Source organism: Homo sapiens, chromosome 17 (assembly GCF_000001405.40).
Source record: "Homo sapiens chromosome 17, GRCh38.p14 Primary Assembly".
In the NCBI taxonomy this organism is placed as follows: Eukaryota; Metazoa; Chordata; class Mammalia; order Primates; family Hominidae; genus Homo; species Homo sapiens.
Genome location: NC_000017.11, coordinates 2,909,444 through 2,929,480, shown reverse-complemented (window position 1 = coordinate 2,929,480; position 20,037 = coordinate 2,909,444). Strand labels below are relative to the sequence as shown.

Here is a 20,037-nt window from a genome sequence, read left to right as displayed (position 1 = left end):
CCAGCAAAGAGGAGGCTGGCTTACCTTCTTCCACCCTGCAGATGGAGCGCCCCTTCCTCTTAATAAATGCCGCCCATCACAGTCACCTGGCGGGGCCAGGGGATTGCCAGATTCCAGCCCTCACTCATCGCCTGTGCCGGGTGCACACCCTCCACAGGCCCTGCCCCCTCCACAGCCTCTTTGCAGCCTAAGGCAGACAAAAATCTGCATGAGCTTCCCCAAAGGCCCCTGCCTTTTATTTTTTTCTTGAGATGGAGTCTCACTCTGTCGCCCAGGCTGGAGTACAGTGGCGCGATCATGGTTCACTGCAGCCTCAAATGCCTGGGCTCCAGGGATCCTCCCGCCTCAGCCTCCCAAGTAGTTGGGACTACAGGGGTGCACCTCCATGCCCAACTAGTTTTTGTTTTTTAGAGATGGAGGGGTCTTGCTATGTTGCCCAGGCTGGTCTTGAACTCCTGGCTTCAAACAATTGTCCTGCCTCGGCTTCCCAAAGTGCTGGGATTACAGGTGTGAGCCACTGAACCCAGACAGCTCCCCACCCTGGAAGCTCCACCCAGCCAGTGAATCCAGACCAGCCCCTGGGTCTCTCAGGAGCCTGCCCAGAGCGATCAGGATGATAGTCTGCATGAGGCTGAGGCTATAACAGGCACCCCCACCCCTCCGACTCCCCATCCCTCACAACAGCTGACGACCAATTCCCAGAAGAGACCATCTGGGTCTTGGTGCAGGGCCCCCACACGCATCAAGCGAGGAGAATTAGAGATTATCGGTGGGCTGGAAGGCGCTGCTGGAGTGTTTGCCCGCCAGTGATATTGAATTTTAAACATGTGTGCCTGTTTACTCGCCCTGCCGGAGCCTCGCTGACTGCCCCGTAGCCAGGCAACGCTATCTGACCTGGGGGACCACGAGAAGGACTTTCCATGCCAGGCAGGTCACCTGGGGAGGGTTATCTACGTGCTGCTCATCTGAGCAGAAGGCAGTGCCTCCGTCCCTCCCACACCTTCCCACCCTCACCCCCAGGCGACCCCGGACACGCAGGCTGTCAACCATGGGCAGTCCACTTTGTCAGGACGAAACAGAGGGTGCCCCTGGTCCTCCTGGGAATGGAAGCAGTGGCGTGATTAGAACCGGACAGAAGCAGATTGCAGGATTAGGTGTCATTATCAATGTGGGAACCAGCTTTGCTGTTTCCCCACCGGCCGCATGGAGAGCCAGCAGGCTGAAATTGCAACAAGAAAGATTCCGGTTAGACAGGAGGAAGGCGGCGATGTGTGAATGGGAAGCGGACAGTGGCACCTTCCTTCAAGTAAAATTGGGCAAGTCCAAATCAGAGCTGGGCAAAGCTTAACATAAGTCTTTTTTCTTCCTCTCTCAAGGAGTGGTGGCTTTTCCATCAGTTCCATCAGTTGCTGGGGGATCAGCAAGCAGCTGACTGACGGTAACAAAACCAAGGTCATAGCTCCTCTAGGCTGCAGCGTGTGTGCTATGTCCCTCTTCTCTCTGTGGAAATGCTTAGGCACATATTCCATCCCTGCCCTTCAAGTCTCATGGTCGTGGGATCAGGGCAAGGACATCTGATACTGTATCATCAGTCACGGGCTCGCAAAGCAATGAGATCAGGCAGGTGAAGAATTAGTCCCAGAACTACGGAATCCCACAGAGGGAAGGCCCGCTATGCGGTGGGCCGGCTAGCGTTTCCTCTAGGAAGCAGGTAGAGATGCCCATTTTACCGATGAGGACCCAGGGCTGAGCAAAGCCCATGAAGGTGGGTCCTTGTGATAGGCCAAATACTGCCCCCCAACACTCACACCCAGAGGTGCCCTTGTCCCAATCCCCAAAACCTGGGAATGTGTGAGGTTACACGGCAAGGGGGAGTTCAGGTTGTGGCTAGAATTAAGGCTGCCCCTGAGATGGGAAGAGGGGCCTGGATGACCCAGGTCCACCCAGTGTGATCAAAAGAGTCTCTGTAATGAGAAGGAGGCAGAAGAGAGGGAATCCGAGAGACGGCGGTGTGAGAAAGACTTGCTCAGCCGGGCGCGGTGGCTCACGCCTGTAATCCCAGCACTTTGGGAGGCCAAGGCGGGCGGATCACGAGGTCAGGAGATCGAGACCATCCTGGCTAACACGGTGAAACCCCGTCTCTACTAAAAATACAAAAAATTAGCCGGGCGCGGTGGCGGGTGCCTGTAGTCCCAGCTACTCGGGAGGCTGAGGCAGGAGAACGGCCTGAACCCGGGAGGCGGAGCTTGCAGTGAGCCGAGATCGCGCCACTGCACTCCAGCCTGGGTGACAGAGCGAGATTCTGTCTAAAAAAAAAAAGACTTGCTCCAGCGTGGCTGGCCTTGAAAACAGAGGTATGGGGCCAGAATACAGGTGGCCTTCTAGGAGCTGACAAGACAAGAGGATAGATTGTCCCCTAGAGCCTACAGAGGGAATGCGGCCCTGGCAATATCTTTTTTTTTTTTTTTTTTTTTTGAGATGGAGTCTTGCTCTGTTCCCCAGGCTGGAGTGCAGTGGCACAATCTCAGCTCACTGCAACCTCCGCCTCCCGGGTTCAAGCAATTATCCTGCCTCAACCTCCCAAGTAGCTGGGACTACAGGCATGCACCACCACACCTGTAGTATTTTTTGTATTTTTAGTAGAGACAGGGTTTCACCATGTTGGCCAGGCTGGTCTCGAACTCTTGACCTCAGGTGATCCGCCCGCCTCGGCCTCTCAAAGTGCTAGGATTACAGATGTGAGCCATCGCGCCCAGCCCCTGGCAATATCTTGATTTGATCTCAGTGAGACCCATTCCATACTTCTAACCTCAGAACTGTAAGATGATAGATTTGTGTTGTCTTAAGCCACTAAGTGTGTGGGTATTTGTGACAGCGGCCATAAGAAACTAATAGAAACCTCCCGACAGGTTCAAGTACAAGCTGGCTTTGGGGGAGGGAGGAACTGTGACACTCTGGCACCGTGCCTCTGAACTGCTAGTCTCACTCCCATCCTCAAAACTGCGATGCTCTGGGGCACATATTCACAGTGTGCAGTGAGCTTTATTGTTGTAACTGCCTTGAAGCTCTGAGCTGCTCCTCAAAAAACCAAGTGTACACTCCTGACTTCTACCAGGCCCAAGACTCACACAGCAAGGAGAAAGCTGCCAGATGGGTTGTAGAGATCATGCCGTGTGAAGAGGACGTGGGCGCTGCCCGTGGAGGTGGGGCTGTCCACGCCAAGTCAGGCTGCACCGATGGGCCGGGAGGCCTGCGCTTCCTGGCTCCTGTCTCCATGAGTAACACTAAGCTCAGTTACCCCCAGGGCTCAGCCTTGCTCTGCTCTGACCAGGTTCCTTTTTTTTTTTTTTTTTTTGAGACAGAGGCTTGCTGTGTTGCCCGGGCATGATCTCGGCTCACTGCAACCTCTGCCTCCTGGGTTCAAGCTATTCTCCTGCCTCACTCTCCTGAGTAGCTGGGATTACAGACACCCACCACCACGCCCAGCTAATTTTTGTATTTTTAGTAGAGACAGGGCTTTCGCCATGTTGGCCAGGCTGGTCTCAAACTCCTGACCTCAGGTGATCCACCTGCCTCAGCCTCCCAAAGTGCTGGGATTACAGGCATGAGCCACCGGGCCTGGCCTGACCAGGTTCCTAACCCGGCCCGGACCCACGCTGACTGGACCCTCCCCAGGCTTTGCAGACCTGCCTTCCTGCTCCCCAGATCTGACCAGGGCTGCTGGCCTGCTTTCTGCTTTTCCATGCTGGTGTTTGAAGGACTCACTCTGAGCTCCTTCAAGGATGGCCTGGAAGTACCTTCCAAGCCCCAGAATCAACCTCCTCTTAGAGAAAAGGCAGGGAGAGCATCATCCAAGGAATTCCTGGCCTTTTCAGCTTACCCTGGCAAAGGTGTGGCTCTGTGTCCCCATCCAAATCTCATCTCGAACTGTAATCCCCACGAGTGGAGCGAGGGAGCGGTTTTCCCCACGCTGTTCTCGTGACAGTGAGTGAGTTCTCATGAGATCTGATGGGTTTACGTGTTTGGAAGCTCCTCCTTCGCTCTTCTCTTTCCTGCTGCCTTGTGAAGAAGGCACATGCTTCTCCTTCATGATTGTAAGTTTCCTGAGGCCTCCCCAGCCATACAGAACTGTGAGTCAATTAAACCTCTTTCTTTATAAATTACCCAGTCTCCGGTATTTCTTCTATTTATACTGCGATGAAGTATTTCTTTACAGCAGTGTGCGAATGGCTCATCTTGCATCACTTTTGGAGGAAGGTTTCTGTGGTTTTTGCCTCCTCACGGCCATTATGTCTTCAAAGAACAGAGATCACATCTTCCCGGTTCAACCAAGAGTCACCAAGCACGAGGCCAAGCAGACAAGAACAACAGCTCCTGCCTCCTGTCTCCCACAGCCCAGCTCTCCAGACCACGGAACTGACCACCGCCAAGGGGCACTCACATACAGTCCCAAACCACATCTGGAATCCACAGCGGCCTGAGGTCAGGGCACCATTGGGGATCTCACCTGATTCTCAGAATTCTCCTGATCCCCGTGGCATCTCTGAGATGAGATGCAATTCTGGTCTCCTCTGAGCCTGGGCCACCCACTAGCCCCCCGGAGGAAAGAGCTCTAGAAAGAGCCACAGGTCATCTGGCGAAGGTCTCAAACCCAGATGTCTTCAGGGGCCAGGGAGGAGATAGGCTCCAAGACGAAATAGGATTGGGGAGGGGACATTCCCCCTAAAGAGTATTGAAATGACTTTTTTAACATCACGTTGGCCAAACAAAACATATTTGAGGACAAACTCAGCCCACCCCAACGTATGATCCTCGGGGAAGCAAACCCAACTCCTCCACCAGCCCCATCTCATTCGCTTTCCCCCTCCACCTCTAATGCCACTGGCCTCTCTCCTCCATCTTCCACCTTCCTTCCCTCCTTCCCTCTTTTCCCCTCCCCACCTCCGATTTCCTTTCTCCCAAATTCCTCCTCTACAGCAGATGACGTCACCTGGCCATCCACCCCCACTTCTGGCTTCCCGTTTAGAGACAACCAGCCATCCTATTAACATCTGACATTTCAGAAACTTCTCAGTCCTGCTGCCAAATCAAATCAGCTCAGCCATGTCATTTGCTAACAAACCCTATTCGCTCCCGGGATGGGCTCTGCTTGATTCCCACGTGTAACTGAGCCTCGGCTCGGAACACTCCCTCCAGGCATCGGGAGGTGCAGACCGTTACTCAGCCTGCTCTTCTGAGAACAGCAGGTCCCCTCAAAAGGAGCACTCTCAAAGTTCCCAGACTGCACCCTCTCTCCTCCAAAATCACCTGGCTCTCATATTCAAAGCAGGGAGCCAAACTCTATGTATAAAGTTGAAATTACCTTTTTAAATTAATATCTCTACCCCAAAGGTTTGGTTCTTTTTATCATAATCTTTTTCCTCACTGTTAGAGAACTCTTAGAGAAATTAATATCTCTTACAGAGAGGAAACATTTCTCTAAACTTCAGCAACTCCTTCTGAGCCACTTGTTTATTTCTTCTTCATTGGTTAATGCAAGGAAAATTGAATTTAGCTCTTTTTATTACAAAGGAGCACAAACAGTGTGATCTCATTTATGTTTGCCTCTATCTATGTGTATGATGCCAAGATGTCTGGACGATTAGCAAATGGTAAGAACGGATATTTCTGGATGGTAGGATTATGATTAGGACATTATTCATTTTTTTATTTTCTCTGTACTTTACAATTGCTTTAACTTTATAATATGCATATATCATTTTATTTAAAATTGTCTGGGGTGTTTCATATTTGCTGGTTATTTGCACACACACAAAAAAAAAACTGATAAAAATTATCTAAGAAAACAGCCGGGCACATTGGCTCAGGCCTGTAATCCCAGCACTTTGGGAGGCTGAGGCAGGTGGATCACCTGAGGTCAGGAGTTCGAGACCAGCCTGGCCAACATGGTGAAACCCTGTCTCTACTAAAAATACAAAAAAAAAATTAGCCAGGCGTGGTGGTATGCGTCTGTAATCCCAGCTACTCCAGCTAAGGCAGGAGAATCTCTGGAGCCTGGGAGGCAGAGGGTGCAGTGAGCCAAGATTGCACCACTGCATTCCAGCCTGGGCAACAGAGCGAGACTCTGTCTCAAAAAAAAAAAAGGCCGGGCGCGGTGGCTCACACCTGTAACCCCAGCACTTTGGGAGGCCGAGGCGGGCAGATCACGAGGTCAGGAGTTTGAGACCAGCCTGGCCGACATGGTGAAACCCCATCTCTATTAAAAATACAAAAATTAACTGGGTGTGGTGGCAGGTGCCTGTAGTCCCAGCTGCTCGGGAGGCTGAGGCAGGAGAATCACTTGAACTCAGGAGGTGGAGGTTGCAGTGAGCTGAGATTGTGCCACTGCACTCCAGCCTGGCAACAGAGCAAGACTCCATCTCAAAAAAAAAAAAAAAAATAGCCAGGTGTGGTGGTGGACGCCTGTAATCCCAGCTACTCCAGCTGAGGCAGGAGAATCGCTGGAGCCTGGGAGGCAGAGGGTGCAGTGAGCCAAGGTCGTGCCATGAGCCAAGGTCGTGCCACAAGCCAAGGTAGTGCAAGGTCGCACCATTGCACTCCAACCTGGGCAACATCAGCGAATTTCTGTCTCAAAAAAAAAAAAAAAAACAAAAACAAAAAGAAAATACTGGGCACTTTTTTGTTCATTGCCACATCCTTAAGGCTGGATCAATCAATGAGGATTCACTGAAAACCTATTGTGAGTATTTATTAAGCACCAACTACTAAGTGTTTATGAAGCACCTGCCATGGCCCCATATGTACCAGGTCCCGGGGCAGCAGGGATGGGAAGATCATGCTCTACCCCATTTGTGCGAGCTGGAGCTGCACTGGGTCCTCCCAGCCCCGCAACACCCTGTACCTCACACACACACCCTTGCAGTGGCACTTGAATGACTTACAACTACACAAGGAGAGCAGGTGCTGGCAGACCTCGGGGACCTCACCAAGCTCCCACCAGGAACTCCCAGGAGAGGGCAGCCCTGACCCCGTAATGGTGGCCCCCAAAAAGATATGTCTGTATCCAGGAACCTGAGTGTGTAACCTTATTCGGAAAAAGGGTCTTTACCCATGCTGCAGTCTGAATGTACATGTCCCTCCCAAGGTGATGGAATTAGAAGGCAAGGCCTAGGGAGGTGACCAGGTAATAAAGGTTCCACCCTCGGGAACGGGATTAACGTCCTCATAGAAGGCCTGAGGGACTAGCGAATCCCTTCTGTCCTTCCGCCTTCCTCCCTGTGAGGACACTGCAAGAAGGTGTCATCTTAGACGCAGAACGTGGGCCTTCATCAGACAGTGGGTCTCTTGGAGCCTTGATCTGGGATTTCCCAGCCTCCAGAATGGTGAGAAATAAATGGCTATTGTTTGTAAATTACCCAGTCTAAGGTATTTTGTTGTAACAGTTGGAACAGACTGAGATAACAGATATAATTTTAAGATATGAAGGAGTTTGAGATGAGATCATCCCGATTACCCAGGTGGGCTCTAAATCCAATGACAAGTGTCCTTAAAAGAGACACACAGAGGAGAGACCCCCAGGGAGAAGAGGAGGGAGACATGTGAAGAAGACGGAGGAAGAGAGCAGAGCTGTGCAGTCCCCGGCCTGGAGCCACCAGGCGCTGGAAGAGGCAGGCAAGGAGCTTCCCCTCGAGCCTCTGGCGGGAACATGGCCCTGCGGACACCTTAAGGACACCTTAACGGTCCTGCTGACACCTTAACGGCCCTGTGGACACATAACGGCCCTGCGGACACCTTAACGGCCCTGCTGACACCTTAACGGCCCTGAGGACACATAACGGCCCTGCTGACACCTTAACGACCCTGCTGACACCTTAACGACCCTGCAGACACCTTAAAGGCCCTGCGGACACTTTAACGGCCCTGCTGACACCTTAATTCCAGACTTCTGGCCTCTAGAGTTGTGAGAAAATAAATTCCTGGCCGGTCATGGTAGCTCATGCCTGTAATCCCAGGACTTTGGGGGGCTGAGGCGGGTGGATCACCTGAGATCAGGAGTTCAAGACCAGCCTGACCAACATGGCAAAACACCGTCTCTACTAAAAATACAAAAAGTTAGCCGGGTGTGGTGGCCGGTGCCTGTAATCCCAAGCTACTTGGGAGGCTGAGGCAGGAGAATTGCTTGAACCCAGGAGGCAGAAAGGTGCAGTGAGCCAAGATCACGCCACTGCACTTCAGCCTGGGTGACAGAGTGAGACTCTGTCTCAAAAAAGAAAAAAAAAAGATAAGAAATTCCTTTTATCCTTTTATTTCAACCCATCAAGTTCACAGTAATTTGTTACAGCAACCCTAGGAATCAAATCTACACCCCAAGGCCTGAAACTCCAGCTCCACACTCCGCCAAGAGCAGAGTCTGCCGGGGGGGCTCCGGGAGAAGAAGCCAGCGGGAGGGGCACACACAGGAGGAACCCACTGAGGCACAGATCTACGCAGGGGACATCCCTTCACGAAGCAACACAGAACCCACCATCCACTGGCCTCTGAAGTCCCAGACACAGCAGGCTTGAGTGTCGGGTAAATGACACTCATGGAAGAGGGTAGCGGATGGGGGTGGGTGGCAGAACACAGAATCTGGCAGCATCCCGCTGCTGAGCCGGTCTCAGTGGAGTAGAGTCTATGGCAGTTGGCAGAGCAGAAGGGCGGGATTATCAATGAAACCACCCTATGCGTGTTTGGCATATTGACCATGATAACAACCACTGGTGTCCATTATGTGCCGATATTCGACACCTGCAGAAGCCTGGCACTTGACGAAGCCCTCGTCCGCCTGCTTCCTCCTTTAATCCCTGCAGTAACCCTACAGGGTGAGCTCCGTTCTATAAATGAGGAAACCGAGGTCCACAGAAGATGACTGAACTGCACGATGTCACACAGTTGGTTTCTAAATCCCAGGAAGAGGCAAGGGCTCTGTCCCCAGACCCAGCACCATCCAGCGGGGGAGGCAGGGCCTGAAAACAGGCAGGGATGTCACAGACCCAGGGGCTAAGTTCTGGGGTGGGATGGCTGGTCAGGCTTCCAAAGGCAGGTGGCATGCCTGGGGCGGGGGTTGGGGGGCCCCTGGGGGCATCCCCTGGGTGACGCCCTGAATGCCAAGTGCTCTATCAGTCTTCTGAATGCCATCAAGGGGAGACAGAGCCGAGCCCTCACCAACAGGCAGAAAGAGGAGGAGAGCACGACGAGAAAAGGGGAAAGGACAGCCTAGGAACACAGGGAGACCCTGCTTCTACGAATTAAAAAAAATTTTTTTTAAGCCTAGCAGGGCGTGGTGGTGCACACCTGTGGTCCCAGCTACTTGGGAGGCTGAGGTAGGACAGTTGCTTGGGCCCAGAAGGTCAAGGCTGCAGTGAGCCCTGATCGCACCACTGTACTCCAGTCTGGGCGACAGAGAACCTGTCTCAAAAAAAAAAAAAAAAGAAAAAAGGAGGCCAGATGCGGCGGCTCACGCCTGTCATCCCAGCACTTTGGGAGGCCGAGGCGGGCGGATCACCTGAGGTCAAGAGTTCGAGACCAGCCTGGCCAACATGGCGAAACCCCATCTCTACTACAAATACAAAAATTAACCAGGTATGGGGCGGTGCCTGTAATCCCAGCTACTTGGGAGGCTGAGGCAGGAGAATTGCTTGAACCCGGGAGGCAGAGGTTGCAGTGAGCCGAGATCGCGCTACTGCACTCCAGCCTGGGCAACAGAGCAAGACTCCGTCTCAAAAAAGAAAAAAAAGAGAAAAGGAAAAAGGAGAGGGCTAAGGAAGGAGGGCCTGGCAGCCGGTCACCTTTACCATCAGCCCAGACCCCCCAGACCATGGGCCACCCAGGCTGAAAGGGCAGCTGCTCCCCCGCCTGGCCCCCCATGGCTTTTAGGCCCTGCCCCCACTTCCCGTGTTCCCCACAAGGTCAGCATCTGTCCCCGAAATACAGACTCATTTTAATATCAGCTGCAGGCAAAAGAAGTTAGGAAAGAAACTTATGATAGGGACAAACTGCTCATAAAACTCATTCCAACGCCAGCCTTGGGACGCTCCCAGCCCCGAATTATCCAAGTCTCGACTCAGTCTAGTCCCAAAAACCTTCATGAGGATGGCGACCCTGCAGGTTCTTTCTGCCACCCTGGAGACCCCTGTTTGGGTCAGATTCAGAAGGCAAGAGGTGAAAGCACAACCCAGAAAGATGTTCCTTCCTCCAGGTCTGGCTCAGATGCTGGGCTGGATCCTGGTTTTTAGCCTTTTTCCAAGACCCTCAAGGGCATCCACATTTATCAGGCAGGGTTTGGAGTCTGATCCACAAGGCTCTTGGAAGGCCACTCACACAAAATGCAATTTCAATCCTTATTCATTCCACAGACAGGCCCCTCAGCTGTGGGCACCTGGCAGGGCAGAAATCAGGGCGTCCTGACAAACTATATTCACCGAAAACCTGGTGTACTTCCCCCTAGATGGTCTCTCTAAGCATTGCTATTCTCCGCACATTTCAGAAACAAAGTTTTTTGGAGGAATAATAATGACTAATATTTATGTAGCACTTACTGCATACCTCTGTTTTAAGCAATAAAGGCATATTATCTCAATTAATCTTCACTACAGCCACCCAGGGCAGGTACTCTTATTATCCTTGAAATAGTTTGGATTTGTGTCCCCACTCAAATCTCACGTGGGACTGTAACCCTCAGTGCTGGAGGTGGGGCCTGCAGGGAGCTGACTGGATCAGAGGGCGGATTTCTCATGAATGCTTTACCACCATCCCCTCCCTGGTGCCGTCCTCAAGATCATGAGTGAATTCTCACGAGCTCTGGTTGTTTAAAAGTGTGTGGCACCCTCCCTTGCTCTCTTGCTCCCGCTCTGGCCCTGTGACCTGCCTCCTCTCCCTTCACCTTCCACCATGAATAAAAGTTTCCTGAGGCCACCCCAACAGCCAAGCAGATGTCAGCATCCTGCTGCCTGTACAGCCTACAGAACTGTGAGCCAGTTAAACCTTTCTTTTTTTTTTTTTTTTTTTTTGAGATGGAGTCTCATTCTATTGCCCAGGCTGGAGTGTAGTGGCACGATGTCGACTCACTGCAACCTCCACCTCCCAGGTTCAAGTGATTCTCCTGCCTCAGCCTCCCAAATAGCTGGGATTATAGGCGCTCGCCACCATGCCCAACTAATTTTTGTATTTTTAGTAGAAACAGGTTTCACCATATTGGCCAGGCTGGTCTTGAACTCCTGACCTCATGATCTGCCCGCCTCAGCCTTCCAAAGTGCTGGGATTACAGGTGTGAGCCACCACGCCTGGCCAAACCTCCTTTCTTTATAAATTATCCAATCTCAGGTATTACTTTAGAGCAATGGGAGACAGGGCTAATACATCCCTATTCTACAAATGAGGAAACTGAGATGCACAGAGGTTATACAGCTAAGAAGAGGGTAAGCTTTGGCCAGGTGCAGTGGCTTATGCCTGTAATCCCAGCACTTCCGGAGGCCGAGGCAGGTGGATCACCTGAGGTCAGGAGTTTGACACCAGCCTGGCCAACATGGTTAATCGCCATCTCTACTAAAAATACATAAATTAGCTGGGTGTGGTGGCATGTGCTTGTAATCTCAGCTACTTGGGAAGCTGAGGCAGGAGAATCACTTGAACCCAGGAAGCGGAGGTTGCGGTGAGCCAAGATCGTGCCATTGTACTTCAGCCTGGGCAACAGAGCAAGACTCCATCTCAAAATAAAAATGAATTTTAAAAACGGGGGGGCCAGGCACAGTGGCTCACACCTGTAATTCCAGCACTTTGGGAGGCCCAGGTGGGAGGATCACCTGAGATCTGGAGTTTGAGACCAGCCTGGCCAACATGGTGAAACCCCGTCTCTACTAAAAATACCAAAAATGGCTGGGCACGGTGGCTCACACTTATAATCCCAGCACTTTGGGAGCCCAAGGCGGGTGGATCACCTGAGGTCAGGAGTTCGAGACCAGCCTGACCAACATGGAGAAACCCCAACTCTACTAAAAATATAAAATTAGCTGGGCGTGGTGGCGCATGCCTGTAATCCCAGCTACTCGGGAGGCTGAGGCAGGAGAATTGCTTGAACCCGGGAGGCAGAGGTTGCAGTGAGCCGAGATCGCGCCATTGCCCTCCAGCCTGGGCAACAAGAGCGCAACTCTGTCTCAAAAAAGAAAAAAAAAAAGAAGAAGAAGTGGGGAAGCCTTAACCCCAGGCAGACTGGCTCCAGAAACTGTATTCTTAGCTACAACCCTCTATTGCTTCAACTTCTTAAGAAGAACCTCAGAGGGGTCCAGGACCAGGTCGAAGGAGCTGGATTAATCGCCCCTGTGGCAGGCAGGATCATGTGGCCAATCCAAAGGAAAGAAAGATGGGCTGGAGAATCAACAGAGAGGGCAAGAAGGTTCCCAGAAAGAGAATTCTACGAACCCAGCCAGCTGTTCCTCCCACAAAGAGAGAAGGAGCACAGCTCAGCTGGCCTAGACGCCTAGGCCGAAGCCCGTGGCTCGCACCCTATTAGCAAACTTGAGGAAGCGTGGCTCCGCTCTGGGGCCTCCAGCTTGGAAGGCCACGGGCCCGAAGATACATAAGAAGAGGCAAGGGACTCTGATGAGCCAGCTACTCTGGGTTCCCTAGAGAGAAGCCCTGACTGTGTGTTTCTCAAGGGCATCTGCATCTCACTCATCATGGTTGTCATCGCCACCATCGCCATCGTCACAGTCCATCACGGAGCACCTGCGTATCAGATGCTCCACTAGCGATTCTGTGGATGACCTCATTACTGCCCACACCCACTCCTCCCGGTGGCCACCGTCCCTATTATGCAAGTGAAGAGACTGGAGGTCACGGAGATGAAGCGACCTGTTGAAATGATTCACGCAGAGCAGTCTGTAGAGGTGGGGAAGACAGCACAGGCTTCAGACCCACACAGACAAACCTGAGCCCACATCCTGGCTCTGCCACTCACCAGCTGTGGGACCTTCAGCAAATAACCTCTTGTGACAATTTCAATCAGAGATGCCAGAAGTGATTTATCTCAAATGACAACTCCAAATGACTGCCAGTGGCTGCCTACGGTGCTTTGTTGAACAGGATTCTGAGACCACGTCTAAGCTCTTGGGAAAGAGTGCCATGATCAATTACCAGTATCTGCCACGGGAGCCAAACGGTGGACTGACGGCACGGATGGCACGTATTTTCCATCCCTGATGCAGAGAAACACCATGGTTGGAGAGACAATAAACAAACACACGTGTACACTTACATGCCTGGCAGAGTTTTGACTAAGGCACCAAAGCAGTTCAGCAAGGAAAGGAAAGTCTTCTCAACATACAGTACTGGAACAACAGAGTATCCATATGGCAATAAATGAACCTAGACCCCAACATACTGCCATACATAATTAAATTAAAACAAGTTTATCCTAGACCTAGAGCTAAAACAATAAAGCTTCTAGCCGGGCGCAGTGGCTCATGCCTGTAATCCCAGCACTTTGGGAGAGGCTGAGGCGGGCGGATCACGAGATCAGGAGACTGAGACCATCCTGGCCAACGTGGTGAAACCCCGTTTCTAGTAAAAATACAAAAAAATCAGCCAGGTGTGGTGGCAGGCACCTGTAGTTCCAGCTATTCGAAAAGCTGAGGCAGGAGAATCGCTTGAACTCAGGAAGCAGAGGTTGCAGTGAGCCGAGATCACGCCACTGCACTCCAGCCTGGTGACAGAGCGAGACTCTGTCTCAAAAAAAATAAATAAAAATAAAGCTTCTAAAAGAATACATGGAAGGAAATCTTTGTGAGCTGGGGTAAGCAAAGACTTCTTAGGACACACAAAGCTACAGACATAAAAGGAAAGAGTCCATAATTAGACTTCTTCAAAATTAAAACTTCTGCTCATTAAAGACACCGTTAAGAAAAGAAATGGGCCAGGCGCGTTGGCTCACGCCTGTAATACCAGCACTTTGGAAAGCCAAGGTGGGCGGATCGCTTGAGCTCAGGAGTTCAAGACCAGCCTGGGCAACAGGGTGAAACCCTGTCTCTCCCTACAAAAAATTCAAAAATTAGTCAGGCGTGGTGGCACCAGCCTGTAGTCCCAGCTACTCGGGGGGCTGAGGTGGAAGGATGGCTTGAGCCCAGGAGGTTGAGGCTGCAGTGAGCTCTGTTCGCACCACTGCACTCCAGCCTGGGCAACAAAGTGAGACCTTGTATCCAAAAAATAAAAACAAGAAAAGAAATGGGCCAGAAATGGTGGCTCAAGCTTGTAATCCCAACAATTTGGGAGCCCAGGCAGGAGGATCACTTGAGGCCAGAGTTTGAGACCAACCCGGGCGACATAGTGAGTCCCCATCTCTATTTCTAAAAAGAAGAAGGCCGGACGCAGTGGCTCACGTCTGTAATCCCAGCACTTTGGGAGGCCGAGGCGGGCGGATCACGAGGTCAGGAGTTCAAGACCAGCCTGGCCAACATGGTGAAACCTTGTCTTTACTGAGAATAAAACAATTAGCTGGGCGTGGTGGCGGGCACCTGTAATCCCAGCTACTCGGGGGACTGAGGCAGGAGAATCGTTTGAACCCAGGAGGTGGAGGTTGTAGTGAGCCGAGATGGCGCCATTGCACTCTAGCCTGGGTGACAGAGCAAGGCTCCGTCTCAAAAAAAAAAAAAAAGAAGTGGCCGGGCACAGTGGCTCGCACCTGTAATCCCAGCACTTTGGGAGGCCGAGGTGGGTGGATCACAAGGTCAGGAGATTGAGACCATCCTGGCTAACACGGTGAAACCCCGTCTCTACTAAAAATACAAAAAATTTGCCGGGCGTGGTGGCGGGCGCCTGTAGTCCCAGCTACTCGGGAGGCTGAGGCAGGAGAATGGTGTGAACCCAGGAGGCAGAGCTTGCAGTGAGCTGAGATCGGGCCACTGCACTCCAGCCTGGGCGACAGAGCGAGACTCTGCCTCAAAAACAGAAGAAGAAGAAAAGAAACGAACTTGACTAGAATATGTAAAGAACGCCTACAAGAAGACTACCGAATTTAAAGGAAGGAGGAAGGGAAAAAAGAACTATAAGAATAGTCAATAAGCATATGAAAAATATTCAACATCATTAGTCATGAGAAAATGTGGATTAAAACCACAATGAGATACCGTTCAAGTAGCTAAAATTGTCAAAACCAACAATGGCAAATGTTGATGAGGATGCAGAGCAGCGAGAACTCAAATGACACTGCTGGTGAGGATATAAGATGGCCTGACCATTTGGCAAACAGTGTAGCAGTTTCATATAAACAGTCACCGGCCAGGCATGGTGGCTCTCGCCTGTAATCCCAGCACTTTGGGAGGCCTGAGGAAGGCGGATCACTTGAGGTTGGGAGTTCGAGACCATCCTGGCCAACATGGTGAAACCCCGTCCCTATTAAAAATACAAAAAACTTAGCCGGGAGTGGTAGTGGGCACCTGTAATCCCAGCTACTGGGGAGGCTGAGGCAGGAGAATCCCTTGAACCCGGGAGGCGGAGGCTGCAGTGAGCAGAGATTGCGTCACTGCTCTCCAGCCTGGGCAACAGAGCGAGACTCCACCTCAAAAAAAAAAAATTAAGTTCTAGAACAGACAAAACTCACTTTTGAAAAAAATCAGAACACTGTTTGCTCCTCAAGGGGGCAGTTATGATTGACTGGGTCAGGACAATGGGAACTTTCTGGGGTTGCAGAAATGTCCTGTTTCTTGATCAAGGTATGGCTCACGTGGGTGTATCATTAGTCAAAGTATACAATACAATTAAGACTTACGCATTTCTGTGTCTGCAAATTTTTAAAAATCCAGTTACACCTAGAGTAATCTTCCAGAAGCATAAGCAAGTTGGCCTTAAAACATGAACAGAAGGCCGAGTGTGGTGGCTCACGCCTGTAATCCCAGTACTTTGGGAGGCTGAGGCCGGCGGATCACCTGAGGTCAGGAGTTTGAGAGCAGCCTGACCAACATGGTGAAACCCCATCTCTACTAAAAATACAAAAATTAGCTGGGCATGGTGGCGTGTGCCTGTAATCCCAGCTACTCGGGAGGCTGAGGGAGGAGAATCGCTTGAACCCAGGAAGCAGGGGTTGCAGTGAGCTGAGATTACGCCACTGCACTCCAACCTGGGTGACAAGAGCGAGATTCCATCTCAAAAAAAAAAGAGAACAGAATTAGGGAAAATAGGCACATGCTCAGGTGTGCACAGGTGAGGAGGGAAATGCATGCAGGTAAGTAGGTGCACATGCAGACATCTTCATGTTTTCTTTTTCTTTTTTTTTGAAACAGGATTTTGCTCTGTCACCCAGGCTAGAGTGCAGTGGTGCAATCATAACTCACTGCAAGCTCAATCTCCTGGGCTCAATCCATCTTCCCACCTTGGCCTCCAGAGTAGCTGGGACTATAGGCATGAGCCAATAGGCCCAGCTAATTTTTTAATTTTTTGTAGAAATGGGGTCTCACTGTGTTGCCCAGGCTGGTCTCAAACTCCTGGCCTCAAGGGATCCTCCTGCCTCAGCCTCCCAAAATGCTGGGATTTCAGGCATGTGCCACCATGCCCAGCCAACATCTCCATGTTCTTAAAGCCTCCTAGTTAGCATCCTCACCCTCAGTAGCCAAATAAGCCCTTCCTCATGCCTGCATTAAATCAGATGTGAACTTCCTTGGCTCCTGGATGGAGTCAAGAGAACAATGGGCAGTGGCTCCTGAGGAGATGGGGTTGTATCCCAACCATGTCCGGAGCGGCAACAGAAACACAATCGATGTGGAGACCAGAGGTGACTCTCCCAGGACCCACAGAGCTTCAGCAAGGGCCTCCCTCCAGCAGTAGGGATGGAGGGAATATATATCTGTCCTCTCCTGTCCCTACACAGGGTTTTCTTGAAGAGGGAAAAACCAAACCTCCTTGCTGATGTCCTTCAGCCCTTCCTGCCCCAGCCCAGAAAGGCTCCCGTCAACCCTCCCACAAATGCCTCCTCCCTTCATCCATCCAGAGCTGGTGGATGTATGGGGGGCTGACACTGTCACTCCACCCTGATGAGGGGCAAGTCTCCCTGCACAGCCTAACAGAAGACAGGAGGCAGGAACCAGGAGCAAAAGAAGAGACGAAATCAGGCCGGGGGCTGTGCTACAAGCTGGAACAGAAGCCCCCACACACCACCCCCCAACCCCAGGGAGAGAGGGTGGCCGGTGGGTAATCCATGAGCCAGAAAGGGAGGCCCAGCCCAGCTCTGCCCAGAGGGATAGAGAGGGGCAAGGAGGAGGCTCCTCTGATCTCCATCCTCTTCCCTGCCATAGGAAGCCTGCACACCTGCCTTACCTACCATAGAGGCGGTGGGGGCATTCCCTGGCCGTGGAGAGCCACGTGCCAAGGAGCAAGGGAGGAACCAGACGTTCTGCTGGTCCCTGCAGTGGGAACTCCAAGCGCACATTATCCTCTTCTGGAAAGGAGAAGGTCTGAGAGGGGCTGCCCTCAGACTTGCACAAAGAGGGGTGTGGAAGGCTGAGCAAGGGCCACCTCCCAGCTGACCGAGCCAGCTCAGGGCCCGGTGCGGCTCCAGGGACAAGGTCAGGTCAAGTCCCAGCAGAGTGGACTTCAGTGAAATGCTCTGTGTCCTTCCCATGAGCGTCGAGAGAATCAGGAGAATCAACCCCTTTACTTCACGGGGCCTGGGAAGGTTTTACTGTCTATGGTCCCAGGGGGTCACCCTGACCCCCATGCTTGCCATTAGGGCCCCTTCCGGCTGCCCCACCCCGCCCCATCCCACCCCACCTCCCCACATAGCGTTTCCCCCTCCTCTCCTCCCCACTGAGAAGCCACATTTCACATCTGAGCCTTGTCACACTGAGCCATCTGGTTTCTCCGGCTCAGTCAGGGCCCCTGTAGACGGCAGGCTCTCTGAGGGTGGAGGACTGCAGCTTCGATGTGACCCAGGGGACCCAGCACAATTCTGGGCATACAACTGCCCCTCCCTAAATGCCTGCTGATCCATTGGGGCATGAAAATCAGCTTCCAAAAAAAAATATGGGCCTGGAAACCACCTACGGTATTCCCACAGACGCAGCCTCAAGTCCCTCTCCCAGCCCACCCGGCACCAGCCAGTTTGAGCTCTGGCTGGGAACTGGGATCTTATTCAGCCCATCTGGTCAGCATCTCTTTGGTTGCTTTTTATCAGCTTCATATTAGCAAAAAAAAAAAATCCCCTTCAAAACAAACAGCAAAGAGGTGGGGGAGGGTGCGTATAGGTCGGGTAGCAGCAGGCACGCCAGTGAGGGTGGGGGCCCGGGGGGAGCGCGGCAGAGACTCTCAGGCTGGAGGCCAGCTACTGCTCCAGCCAGCCCTTCCCAGTGGGAGAGCCACAAGAGGCCGTCCCTGGGCCCGCAAGCGTGAGATGAGCAAGCATGAGATGAGCCGAGCACTTGACCAAAACTAGTTTGGGTCTTAGAATTTAACTTATCGTGGGCCAGGTGCAGTGGCTCACGCCTGTCATCTGAACACTTTGGGAGGCCAAGGCTGGCGGATCACTTGAGGTCAGGAGCTCGAGACCAGCCTGGCCAACAGGGGGAAACCCCATCTCTACTAAAAATACAAAAATTAGCGGGGTGTGGTGGTGCGCTGGGGCAGGAGAACTGCTTGAGCCTGGGAGACGGAGGTTGCAGGGAGCCGAGATCGCGCCATTACATTTCAGCCTGGGTGACAGAGTGAGACTCCGTCTCAAAAAATAAATATAAAAATAAAGAATGTAACTTATTCTGTTGACTCGAGGAGGAACGGCGTTGCGTTGGGAGAGTCATTTCCTACCTTGGGGCTTCTGGTTTACCTATAAAGGAAATGGATCGCCCATCCCTAATCTTCTGTGACTCCCAAGCTAATCAACCAAAGGGGTGCCCCTGCCACACCCTCCCTGAGCCTGCACTGCCAAGAGAACCAGGTGAAGCCTTCTCCCACTGCCCGAGGCTCAAAGAACAGAGAACTGATTCATGAACCCTCAGGGCCAGGGACCCTCGGAGAGAGGCCAGCCTCCATCCAGGGCGTCTCTGGCCTCAGTGTGCTATAATAACCTGGGATGTGTCAACCAAGCAGAGGCCTGGCCTCACCCTAGGACAGGGATGTGGCAGGTGGAGCCCAGGCCTGCTGGGATATAGGATCCAGCCAGAAGCAGAGGAGTGGAGGGTCAGGAGCAGAACAACCTCCTCTGACCGAGATGTCCCTTACTGTCAGCAACCATAAACAAGTCCCAGGTCCCCACCCTAAGCCAGGGCCTGGGGGCCCTAAAGAATAGGACACAGTCGCTATGCTCAGGGAACTCAAGTTAAGGAAAGAATCGGACAGCCTGCAAGCAGGAGCTGCAATATTATTTCATCAATGTCATCACTTTTGTGATGGGACACTCCTGTGGTGAGCAGGCTGGTGTAAGGTGAGGATTGTGGTTTTAAATCCCTCATGGGTGGTTAGCTTTCACACAAAGGGAAAAAACCTCCTCGCCATAGACAGACTCCTAACTGCAGCCACAGGCTAAGCCACAGAATGAACCCAAATGACAGTCACAAAGAGAACCCCTCGGGCCAGGCACACCACACACACTGACCCCCAACCCCAACCACAGAAGGACCCCCACCCAGTCTGAGTCCCCAGGACAATCCCTCACCCCTTCCTCCCTTCCCAGCTCTGACCTTGTGCTTGGGGCCTGGGCAGTAAAGTCACAGGCTGGGAAATTGCTGAGCTGAGCTCAAAGGGGAGAAGGACAGAACACGGGGGAGGAGGAGGAAGGGACACCTCCTGACTGCAGCTGCTGAGCTTTCCCTGAGGCTGCTCTGCTCCGGGCCTGCCTGAGGCCCCTCCCGACAGCCTGTCATGGGAGAGCGCAGCAGGGGCAGGCACCCAGTGGATGCTCACAAATCATTTTTTGAAAGAATATGTTAAAAATAATCCCTGCTGTGGTCCAGATTCCTGAGCACCCCTGCCTCACTCCCTCCTTTCCACATTTCCTCACACTCCAGGCTCCCCACCTCACAA

The 20,037-nt window shown here is 52.2% G+C and overlaps 1 protein-coding gene across 12 annotated transcripts in view, besides 6 other annotated features; it reads right to left on the bottom strand.

Annotated features, from left to right (window-relative positions):
• Nucleotides 1-20,037, bottom strand: part of RAP1GAP2 (RAP1 GTPase activating protein 2) — a 282,097-nt gene that overhangs the window by 108,261 nt on the left and 153,799 nt on the right. The gene's annotated exons all lie outside the window — the stretch shown is intronic.
• Nucleotides 2,700-3,416: an enhancer, noted in NCBI's record as "H3K27ac-H3K4me1 hESC enhancer chr17:2829359-2830075 (GRCh37/hg19 assembly coordinates)". NCBI's record gives its function as "activates a minimal SCP1, AML or CMV promoter by ChIP-STARR-seq in naive H9 embryonic stem cells {active_cell/tissue: H9 hESC(naive)}" and the evidence as "EXISTENCE:reporter gene assay evidence [ECO:0000049][PMID:30033119]".
• Nucleotides 3,417-4,135: an enhancer, noted in NCBI's record as "H3K27ac-H3K4me1 hESC enhancer chr17:2828640-2829358 (GRCh37/hg19 assembly coordinates)". NCBI's record gives its function as "activates a minimal SCP1, AML or CMV promoter by ChIP-STARR-seq in naive H9 embryonic stem cells {active_cell/tissue: H9 hESC(naive)}" and the evidence as "EXISTENCE:reporter gene assay evidence [ECO:0000049][PMID:30033119]".
• Nucleotides 7,228-7,798: an enhancer, noted in NCBI's record as "NANOG-H3K27ac-H3K4me1 hESC enhancer chr17:2824977-2825547 (GRCh37/hg19 assembly coordinates)". NCBI's record gives its function as "activates a minimal SCP1, AML or CMV promoter by ChIP-STARR-seq in naive and primed H9 embryonic stem cells {active_cell/tissue: H9 hESC(naive and primed)}" and the evidence as "EXISTENCE:reporter gene assay evidence [ECO:0000049][PMID:30033119]".
• Nucleotides 7,799-8,371: an enhancer, noted in NCBI's record as "NANOG-H3K27ac-H3K4me1 hESC enhancer chr17:2824404-2824976 (GRCh37/hg19 assembly coordinates)". NCBI's record gives its function as "activates a minimal SCP1, AML or CMV promoter by ChIP-STARR-seq in primed H9 embryonic stem cells {active_cell/tissue: H9 hESC(primed)}" and the evidence as "EXISTENCE:reporter gene assay evidence [ECO:0000049][PMID:30033119]".
• Nucleotides 13,699-14,452: an enhancer, noted in NCBI's record as "H3K27ac-H3K4me1 hESC enhancer chr17:2818323-2819076 (GRCh37/hg19 assembly coordinates)". NCBI's record gives its function as "activates a minimal SCP1, AML or CMV promoter by ChIP-STARR-seq in primed H9 embryonic stem cells {active_cell/tissue: H9 hESC(primed)}" and the evidence as "EXISTENCE:reporter gene assay evidence [ECO:0000049][PMID:30033119]".
• Nucleotides 16,953-17,474: an enhancer, noted in NCBI's record as "H3K4me1 hESC enhancer chr17:2815301-2815822 (GRCh37/hg19 assembly coordinates)". NCBI's record gives its function as "activates a minimal SCP1, AML or CMV promoter by ChIP-STARR-seq in naive H9 embryonic stem cells {active_cell/tissue: H9 hESC(naive)}" and the evidence as "EXISTENCE:reporter gene assay evidence [ECO:0000049][PMID:30033119]".